At 39.9% G+C, this 11,772-nt stretch overlaps 1 annotated feature.

Moving 5' to 3' along the window:
• Window positions 233–843: an enhancer, noted in NCBI's record as "H3K27ac-H3K4me1 hESC enhancer chr15:23959525-23960135 (GRCh37/hg19 assembly coordinates)". NCBI's record gives its function as "activates a minimal SCP1, AML or CMV promoter by ChIP-STARR-seq in naive H9 embryonic stem cells {active_cell/tissue: H9 hESC(naive)}" and the evidence as "EXISTENCE:reporter gene assay evidence [ECO:0000049][PMID:30033119]".

Consider the following 11,772-nt stretch of genomic DNA (forward strand, 5'->3'; position numbering starts at 1 on the left):
ATTTCTGCATTTCCATCTGAGGTACGGGGTTCATCTCATTAGGGAGTGCCAGACAGTGGGCGCAGGTCGGTGGGTGCGCGCACCGTGGGCGAGCGGAAGCAGGGCGAGGCATTGCCTCACTAGGGAAGCGCAAGGGGTCAGGGAGTTCCCTTTCCTAGTCAAAGAAAGGGGTGACAGACGGCACCTGGAAAATCGGGTCACTCCCACCCGAATACTGAGCTTTTCCGACGGGCTTAAAAAACGGCGCACCAGGAGATCATATCCCGCACCTGAATCGGAGGGTCCTACACCCATGGAGTCTCGCTGATTGCTAGCACAGCCTTCTGAGATCAAACAGCAAAGCGGCAGCGAGGCTGGGGGAGGGGCGCCCTCCATTGCCCAGGCTTGCTTAGGTAAACAAAGCAGCAGGGAAGCTGGAACTGGGTGGAGCCCACCACAGCTCAAGGAGGCCTGCCTGCCTCTGTAGGCTCCACCTCTGGGGGCAGGGCACAGACAAACAAAAAGACAGCAGTAACCTCTGCAGACTTAAATGTCCCTGTCTGACAGCTTTGAAGAGAGCAGTGGTTCTCCCAGTACGCAGCTGGAGATCTGAGAACGGGCAGACTGCCTCCTCAAGTGGGTCCCTGACCCCTGACCCCCGAGCAGCCTAACTGGGAAGCACCCCCCAGCAGGGGCACACTGACACCTCACATGGCAGGGTACTCCAACAGACCTGCAGCTGAGGGTCCTGTCTGTTAGAAGGAAAACTAACAAACAGAAAGGACATCCACATCAAAAACCCATCTGTACATCACCATCATCAAAGACCAAAAGTAGATAAAACCACAAAGATGGGGAAAAAACAGAGCAGAAAAACTGGAAACTCTAAAAAGCAGGGCACCTCTCCTCCTTCAGAGGAATGCAGTTCCTCACCAGCAACAGAACAAAGCTGGACGGAGAATGACTTTGACGAGCTGAGAGAAGAAGGCTTCAGACGATCAAATTACTCCGAGCTACAGGAGGACATTCAAACCAAAGGCAAAGAAGTTAAAATCTTTGAAAAAAATTTAGAAGAATGTATAACTAGAATAACCAATACAGAGAAATGCTTAAAGGAGCTGATGGAGCTGAAAACCAAGGCTCAAGAACTACGTGAAGAATGCAGAAGCCTCAGGAGCCGATGTGATCAACTGGAAGAAAGGGTATCAGCGATGGAAGATGAAATGAATGAAATGAAGCGAGAAGGGAAGTTTAGAGAAAAAAGAATAAAAAGAAATGAGCAAATCCTCCAAGAAATATGGGACTATGTGAAAAGACCGAATCTACGTCTGATTGGTGTACCTGAAAGTGACGGGGAGAATGGAACCAAGTTGGAAAACACTCTGCAGGATATTATCTAGGAGAACGTCCCCAATCTAGCAAGGCAGGCCAACATTCAGATTCAGGAAATACAGAGAACGCCACAAAGATACTCCTCGAGAAGAGCAACTCCAAGACACATAATTGTCAGATTCACCAAGGTTGAAATGAGGAAAAAATATTAAGGGCAGCCAGAGGAGAGAAAGGTCGGGTTACCCACAAAGGGAAGCCCATCAGACTAACAGCGGATCTCTCGGCAGAAACTCTACAAGCCAGAAGAGGGTGGGGGCCAATATTCAACATTCTTAAAGAAAAGAATTTTCAACCCAGAATTTCATATCCAGCCAAACTAAGCTTCATAAGTGAAGGAGAAATAAAATACTTTACAGACAAGTAAATGCTGAGAGATTTTGTCACCACCAGGCCTGCCCTAAAAGAGCTCCTGAAGGAAGCGCTAAACATGGAAAGGAACAACCAGTACCAGCCACTGCAAAATCATGCCAAAATGTAAAGACCATCAAGACTAGGAAGAAACTGCATCAACTAATGAGCAAAATAACCAGCTAACATCATAATGACAGGATCAAATTCACACATAACAATATTAACTTTAAATGTAAATGGACTAAATGCTCCAATTAAAAGACACAGACTGGCAAATTGGATAAAGAGTCAAGACCCATCAGTGTGCTGTATTCAGGAAACCCATCTCACATGCAGAGACACACATAGGCTCAAAATAAAAGGATGGAGGAAGATCTACCAAGCAAATGGAAAACAAAAAAAGGCAGGGGTTGCAATCCTAGTCTCTGATAAAACAGGCTTTAAACCAACAAAGATCAAAAGAGACAAAGAAGGCCACTACATAATGGTGAAGGGATCAATTCAACAAGAAGAGCTAACTATCCTAAATATATATGCACCCAATATAGGAGCACCCAGATTCATAAAGCAAGTCCTGAGTGACCTACAAAGAGACTTAGACTCCCACACATTAATAATGGGAGACTTTAACACCCCACTGTCAACATTAGACAGATCAACAAGACAGAAAGTCAACAAGGATACCCAGGAATTGAACTCAGCTCTGCACCAAGCGGACCTAATAGACATCTACAGAACTCTCCACCCCAAATCAACAGAATATACATTTTTTTCAGCACCACACCACACCTATTCCAAAATTGACCACATAGTTGGAAGTAAAGCTCTCCTCAGCAAATGTAAAAGAACAGAAATTATAACAAACTATCTCTCAGACCACAGTACAATCAAACTAGAACTCAGGATTAAGAATCTCACTCAAAACCGCTCAACTACAAGGAAACTGAACAACCTGCTGCTGAATGACTACTGGGTACATAATGAAATGAAGGCAGAAATAAAGATGTTCTTTGAAACCAATGAGAACAAAGACACAACATGCCAGAATCTCTGGGATGCATTCAAAGCAGTGTGTACAGGGAAATTTATAGGACTAAATGCCCACAAGAGAAAGCAGGAAAGATCCAAAATTGACACCCTAACATCACAATTAAAAGAACTAGAAAAGCAAGAGCAAACACATTCAAAAGCTATCAGAAGGCAAGAAATAACTAAAATCAGAGCAGAACTGAAGGAAATAAAGACACAAAAAACCCTTCAAAAAATTAATGAATCCAGGAGCTGGTTTTTTGAAAGGATCAACAAAATTGATAAACCACTAGCAAGACTAATAAAGAAAAAAAGAGAGAAGAATCAAATAGATGCAATAAAAAATGATAAAGGAGATATCACCACCGATCCCACAGAAATACAAACTACCATCAGAGAATACTACAAACACCTCTACGCAAATAAACTAGAAAATCTAGAAGAAATGGATAAATTCCTCGACACATACACTCTCCCAAGACTAAACCAGGAAGAAGTTGAATCTCTGAATAGACCAATAACAGGATCTGAAATTGTGGCAATAATCAATAGCTTACCAACCAAAAAGAGTCCAGGACCAGATAGATTCACAGCCGAATTCTACCAGAGGTACAAGGAGGAACTGGTACCATTCCTTCTGAAACTATTCCAATCAATAGAAAAAGAGGGAATCCTCCCTAACTCATTTTATGAGGCCAGCATCATCCTGATACCAAAGCTGGGCAGAGACACAACCAAAAAAGAGAATTTTAGACCAATATCCTTGACGAACACTGATGCAAAAATCCTCAATAAAATACTGGCAAACCGAATCCAGCAGCACATCAAAAAGCTTATCCACCATGATCAAGTGGGCTTCATCCCTGGGATGCAAGGCTGGTTCAATATACGCAAATCAATAAATGTAATCCAGCATATAAACAGAACCAAAGACAAAAACCACATGATTATCTCAATAGAAGCAGAAAAGGCCTTTGACAAAATTCAACAACCCTTCATGCTAAAAACTCTCAATAAATTAGGTATTGATGGGACGTATTTCAAAATAATAAGAGCTATCTATGACAAACCCACGGCCAATATCATACTGAATGGGCAAAAACTGGAAGCATTCCCTTTGAAAACTGGCATAAGACAGGGATGCCCTCTCTCACCACTCCTATTCAACATAGTGTTGGAAGTTCTGGCCAGGGCAATTAGGCAGGAGAAGGAAATAAAGGGTATTCAATTAGGAAAAGAGGAAGTCAAATTGTCCCTATTTGCAGATGACATGATTGTATATCTAGAAAACCCCATTGTCTCAGCCCAAAATCTCCTTAAGCTGATAAGCAACTTCAGCAAAGTCTCAGGATACAAAATCAATGTACAAAAATCACAAGCATTCTTATACACCAACAACAGACAAACAGAGAGCCAAATCATGAGTGAACTCCCATTCACAATTGCTTCAAAGAGAATAAAATATCTAGGAATCCAACTTACAAGGGATGTGAAAGACCTCTTCAAGGAGAACTACAAACTACTGCTCAAGGAAATAGAAGAGGATACAAACAAATGGAAGATCATTCCATGCTCATGGGTAGGAAGAATCAATATCGTGAAAATGGCCATACTGCCCAAGGTAATTTACAGATTCAATGCCATCCCCATCAAGCTACCAATGACTTTCTTCACAGAATTGGAAAAAACTACTTTAAAGTTCATGTGGAATCAAAAAAGAGCCCGCATTGCCAAGTCAATCCTAAGCCAAAAGAACAAAGCTGGAGGCATCACACTACCTGACTTCAAACTATACTACAAGGCTACAGTAACCAAAACAGCATGGTACTGGTACCAAAACAGAGATATAGATCAATGGAACAGAACAGAGCCCTCGGAAATAACGTTGCATATCTACAACTATCTGATCTTTGACAAACCTGAGAAAAACAAGCAATGGGGAAAGGATTCCCTATTTAATAAATGGTGCTGGGAAAACTGGCTAGCCATATGTAGAAAGCTGAAACTGGATCCCTTCCTTACACCTTATACAAAAATCAATTCAAGATGGATTAAAGACTTAAATGTTAGACCTAAAACCATAAAAACCCTAGAAGAAAACCTAGGCTCTACCATTCAGGACATAGGCATGGGCAAGGACTTCATGTCTAAAACACCAAAAGCAATGGCAACAAAAGCCAAAATTGACAAATGGGATCTAATTAAACTAAAGAGCTTCTGCACAGCAAAAGAAACTACCATCAGAGTGAACAGGCAACCTACAAAATGGGAGAAAATTTTCACAACCTACTCATCTGACAAAGGGCTAATATCCGGAATCTACAATGAACTCATTACAAGAAAAAAACAAACAACCCCATCAAAAAGTGGGCAAAAGACATGAACAGACACTTCTCAAAAGAAGACATTTATGCAGCCAAAAAACACATGAAAAAATGCTCACCATCACTGGCCATCAGAGAAATGCAAATCAAAACCACAATGAGATACCATCTCATACCAGTTAGAATGGCAATCATTAAAAAGTCAGGAAACAACAGGTGCTGGAGAGGATGTGGAGAAATAGGAACACTTTTACACTGTTGGTGGGACTGTAAACTAGTTCAACCATTGTGGAAGTCAGTGTGGCGATTCCTCAGGGATCTAGAACTAGAAACACCATTTGACCCAGCCATTCCATTACTAGGTATATACCCAAAGGACTATAAATCATGCTGCTATAAAGACACATGCACACGTATGTCTATTGCAGCATTATTCACAATAGCAAAGACTTGGAACCAACCCAAATGTCCAACAATGATAGACTGGATTAAGAAAATGTGGCACATATACACCATGGAATACTATGCAGCCATAAAAAATGATGAGTTCATGTCCTTTGTAGGGACATGGATGAAATTGGAAATCATCATTCTCAGTAAACTATCGCGAGAACAAAAAATCAAGCACCACATATTCTCACTGATAGGTGGGAATTGGACAATGAGAACACATGGACACAGGAAGGGGAATATCACACTCTGGGGCCTGTTGTGGGGTGGGGGGAGGGGGGAGGGATAGCACTGGGAGATATTCCTAATGCTAGATGACGAGTTAGTGGGTGCAGCGCACCAGCATGGCACATGTATACATATGTAACAAACCTGCACATTGTGCACATGTACCCTAAAACTTAAAGTATAATAATAAAAAAATAAAAAAATATAAATAAATAAAAAGAACTCCATTGAATGTTTCTTATTTCTTATATAGTGGGTCTTCTGTTAATCAATTTCTTCAGCTTTTGTTTTGAGAATGTCTTTTCTAACCTTCATTTTTGAAGCATTTTCTTACTATGTAAAATAATGGAATAAAAGAATCCTGGATTGACAGTATATTTACTTTCAGCATTTAAAGATAGCACTCCATTGTCTTCTTTCCTGTGTAGTTTATGACAAGAAATCTACTATAATTCTTATCTTTGATCCTCTGTACAGACCATGCCTATGTTCTTGCTATACCCTCACTGTATAGAATACAGTGAAGAATCCCTATTTCTCTTGTGATACCTTGTGTTTAGAATACAGGCTTATTTATCATAAGGTTTTACTCAATGTCTACTCCCTACTTTGTTTTGCATTTTCCTCCTCAGCATTGAGTATTCCATTTGCACTGTTCCCTTGTAAGAATTTGTCTCTTGCAGTTCTCTCAGCTCTATTGCTCTACTACTTTTACTTAATGCTTGTTAGTCTGGTTAAGGGAAGACTTGAAGCCAATCCAATACTCCTATAGATTGTTTTTTGGATAAACATAGAAATTGACCCCTCTGTTTTCTTTTTGTTTTTTTTTTTGTTGTTGTTTTTGAGATGGACTCTCGCTCTGTTGCCCAGGCTGGAGTGCAGTGGCGCGATCTCAGCTCACAGCAAGCTCTGCCTCCCAGTTTCAAGCGATCCTATGAGTTCAACTTTTTAAGATTTCTTGTATAAGTGAGATAATATAGTATTTGTCTTTCTGTGTTTGGCATATTTCACTTATTTTATGTTCTCTTCTCTAGGTTCATCCATGTTGTTGCTAATGACAGAATTTCCTTCATTTGAAAGGATAAATAATATTTCATTGTGTATATATACCACATTTTCTTTATGCATTCATCTGTTGATGGATAGTTAAGTTGATACATGGCAGTGCAGATACCGCTTAAACCTATTGATTTCATTTTCTTTGGATATATACTCGGTAGTAGCATTGCTGCATGATATGGTAGTTCTATTTTTAACTTTTTGTAGAATGTCCATACTGTTTTCCGTATGTCTGCACTAATTTACATTCCCACTGACAGTGTACAAGGGTTCCCTTTTCTCCACATTTTCGCCAACACTTGTTATCACTTGGCTTTTCTATGAAAAACATTCTAACATATGTGGCGATATGTCATTGTGGCTTAAATTTGCATTTTCCTGATGATTGCTGATATTGAGCATTTCTTCCTATGTTTGTCGGCCATTTATCTTCTTTTGAGAAACGTCTATTCAGATCATTTGCTCATTTTTTAATTGAGCTACTTGTTTTCTTGCTACTGAGTTATGTTCCTTGTATATTTTGGATATCAACCCCTTATTAATGTATGGTTTGCAAATACAGACAGTCCTGTCTTGTGATGGTCCAGATTTTTCAACTTTACAGTGATGTGAAAGCAATACACACTCTGTAGAAATCTTACTTTGAATTTTAACTTTTTTTTTTTTTTTTGAGATGGAGTCTTGCTCTGTCTCCCAGGCTGGAGTGCAGTGGCGCGATCTCGGTTCACTGCAACCTCAGCCTCCTGGGTTCACGCCATTCTCCTGCCTCAGCCTCCTGAGTAGCTGGGACTACAGGCGCCTGCCACCATGCCCGGCTAATTTTTTGTATATTTAGTAGAGACGGGGTTTCACCATGTTAGCCAGGATGGTCTCGATCTCCTGACCTTGTGATCCGCCCACCTCGGCCTCCCAAAGGGCTGGGATTACAGGCATGAGCCACTGCGCCCGGCCTGAATTTTAACTTTCAATCTTTCCCCATGCTAGCAATATGTGGTACAATACTCTCACTATGCTGGGCAGTAGCAATGAGATGCTGCTCTCATTTATCACATGATCATGAGGATTAAAAAAAAAATGCTCCACAGTGGACTGTGTTGCCAGATGATTTTGCTCAGATTAATATAGGTGTTCTGAGCATGTTTAAGGTAGGTCAGTTGTATTAAATGCATTTCTTACAACATTTCCAATTTTCATTTTCAATTTATGACAGGTTTATCCAAATGTAACTCCATGATAAGTTGAGGAGCACCTGTGTTTTCTTCCAATCCAGTGGTTGTCTCTTCACTCTGTTAAATTTTTCCTTTGCTGTGCAGAAGCTTTTTAATGTGATGCAATCCCATTTGCATATTTTTGCTTGCCTGTGCTTTTGGGGTCATGTCCAAGAAACCCTTTCCCAGACCCACGTCATGGAGGTTTTCCTCTATGTTTTCTTCTAGTAGCTTTACATATTCAGGTCTCATGTTTAAGTGTTTAATCCATTTCGATTTTTTTTTTTGTAAAAGGGTGAGAAACGAGTCCAATTTTGTTTTCTGCATATAGCTACCTGGTTTTCTCAACACGCTTTATTGAACAGACTCTTTTCCCGTGTGTGGTGTTAGAAACTTTTTCAAAAATCAATTGACCATGGATGCATGTGTTTATTTCTAGGCTTTTTTTTTTTTTTTTTTTGTAGTTTTAGTAGAGACGGGGTTTCACTGTGTTAGCCAGGATTGTCCTAATCTCCTGACCTTGTGATCTGCCTGCCTCTGCCTACCAAAGTGATGGGATTACAGGCGTGAGCCACCACGCCCGGCCTTCTAGGCTATCTTGTTCCTTTGGTTGATGTGTCTGTTTCTATGCCATGCCCTTTCGATTACTACAGATTTGTAATATATTTTGAAATCAGGTAATGTGATGCCTCCAGCTTTGTTCATGCTGCTCAAGATTACTCTGGCTGCTCAAGGTCTTTTGTGGTTCCCTATGAATTTGGGGATTGTTTTGTCTATTTCAGTGAAAAATGACATTGGAATTTTGACAGCAATTGCTCTAAATCTCTAGATTGCTATGGATAGTGTCCTGATATTTTAGCAACATTAATTCTTCCAATTCATGAACACAAGGGGTCTTTTCATTTATTCGTGTTGTCTTCAATGTCTTTTATTAATGTTTTATAGTTTACTGTATGCAAATCTGTCACATTCTGGTTGAATTTACTCCTAAGTATGATTTTTTGATGCTGTTGTAAATGGGATTGTTTTCTTAATTTTTCCTCCTGGATCATTCATTGTTAGTGTGCAGAAACAAGACTAATTTTTGCACATTGATTTCGTATCCTGCAACTTTACTAGATTTGTTTATTAGTTCTAAAAGTTTTTTTGGTAGCCTCTTTAGGGTTTTCTATGTATAAGAGTATGTCATCAGCAAACAGAGACAATTTTCTTCCTATAATATTTGAATGCCTGCCAGGCATGGTGCGTCATGCCTGTAATCTCAGCACTTTGGGAGGCCGAGTTGGGAAGATCACTCGAGGTGGGTAGTTCGAGACCAGCCTGGCCAAACAAAGTGAAACCACCTGAAGTCAGGAGTTTCAGACCTGCCTGGCCAAACATGGTGAAACCCCATCTCTACTAAAAATGCCAAAATTAGCTGGGAGTGCTGGTCCATACCTGTAGTCCCACCTACCCAGGAGGCTGAGGCAGGAGAATCGCTTGAACCCAGGAGGCAGAGGTTACAGTGAGCTGAGATTGCTCTACTGTACTCCAGCCTGGGCAACAGAGAGAGACTCTGTCTCAAAAAAAAAAAAAAAAATTGGATGCCCTTTTATTTATTTTTGTTGCTTAACTGATCTGGCTGATCCTTAGCACTCCCAACCTCCCTCCTGTGTTTTCCTGGCCCTCCCCCCAGTGGTAGGGCTTTATTTATGCTGTTACCCCCGTCCAGCTCCATGGGTTTTCTGTGAGTGCTCAATGGCTATAGTTTTTGTTGCCCTTTTCTCTGTAGATTTATCTATATTTGTTACTTAGGGGATTCATGAGGTTTATGTTTATTTAGAGGCTACTGTTCCTTTACCTAGCATGAAGCTTTTTCTGGAATCTCTGGAGTGTACCCTATGAGACCTAATGGAGTTCTTTTTTCTTTTCTTTTCTTCTTTTCTTTTCTTTTTTTTTGAGACAGCGTCTCGCTCTGTCACCCAGGCTGGAGTGCAGTGGCACGATCTCGGCTCACTGCAAGCTCCGCCTCCCGGGTTCACGCCATTCTCCTGCCTCAGCCTCCGGAGTAGCTGGGACTACGCGCCCTCCACCACGCCTGGCTACTTTTTTGTTTTTAGTAGAGATGGAGTTTCACCGTATTAGCCAGGATGGTCTCCATCTCCTGACATCATGATCCGCCCACCTTGGCCTCCCAAAGTGCTGGGATTACAGGCGTGAGCCACCGCGCCTGGCCAAGACCTAATGGAGTTCCTAGAGGAACTTCTGGGACAGAAAATCCATCAAGCAGAGGCAATCCCACTCCCCACATGTTTGTGGCCCTCAGGGGCTTCCCACTGTCCTAGCTCCCATTAGTCTCTGAGCTGAAACTAGAAATTCCAGTTTGGGCCTTAATTGTGGTATTTAAACCACTTATATTTCATGTGATACTGACATGGTAAAGTTTGAATATTTCATCTTTCTATTTGTTTTCTATTTGTCCTGTCTGCTGTCTGTCCCCATCTTCCCTTTAATTCTGCTTCCTACGTATTATTTTCGTTATTTTCTTTTTTTCTTTACTTATTAGATATAACTCTCTATTTTAGTGGTTACTTTAGAGTTTAGAATATACGTGTTTACCTTATCACAGACTACCTTAAAATGATATTATACCACCTTATGTATACTATGGATAGTTCCTAGTAATAGTATGCTTTCTTTTTTCTCCTCTGACCATTGCACTGTGTTCTTACTTTTTATTTTATAAATGCTATACCCCCCTCTACAATAATTAACAATATTTGTTTTTACTGTAGTTTAACTAATCAATTATATTTTCAAGACATTTAAATTTTTTGAAAAAAAAATTCTTATCATTTCCCATGCTGTTTTTCCCTTTGCATATATCATGTTTTCACAACCTTGGCGCTATTCACACTGTGGGATAAATAATTATTTTTTGATATAGGGGATTTTATACTGTTCATTGCGGTATTTTTAGCTCTATTCCTGCCCTCTACACACAGGATACATGTAACAAATCACCCTCCTCCCCCGTCATGACAGCCAAAAATAATTTCAGACATTACTAAACATACCTTGGGAGGCAAAATTGCCCCTAATTGAAAATCATTGGTGTCGTTTCATATTTCCATTTGGTATGAGTTTTCTTCTACATTAGAAGATTCTCTCTAACATTTTTAAAAATTGTAGGTGTGCTGGTAATTAATTCTTTCAGCTTAAAAAAATGAGTTGAAATTCATATAACCTAAAATTAACCATTTTAAAATGAACAACTCAACTGCATTTAGTAATTCAAAATATTATTAAACTACTACCTCTATCTAGTTCTAAAATATTTTCATCACCCTAAAATAAAACCTCTTATTAAGCAATTCCATCCCATTCCCAATGACTTATATGAATTTACTTATTCTGGTTATTTTACATGCCTTAAATCATAGAATATGTGGACTTTGCTGTCTGGCTTCTTTCACAGATCATAATATTTTTGAGATTCCTCTGTATTATGGAATATATCAGTACTTTGTTATATTTTATGGCTTAATAATATTCCATTGCACATATACATCACCATCGATTCATTTATTGCTGGACATTGGGGTTATTTCTGAAGCCTTTTGGCTTGTGATTACTTCTGCTGTAAGTATTCATATGCAAGTATTTGTGTGAAAATTTATTTTCTCATGGTGAGGAAAAGTCGCAGGATCATCTGGTGACTCTATCATCTGGTGAGGAAATGCCAGAATCTTTTTAGAAGAGGGCACACAATT

This window comes from Homo sapiens, chromosome 15, assembly GCF_000001405.40.
Source record: "Homo sapiens chromosome 15, GRCh38.p14 Primary Assembly".
In the NCBI taxonomy this organism is placed as follows: Eukaryota; Metazoa; Chordata; class Mammalia; order Primates; family Hominidae; genus Homo; species Homo sapiens.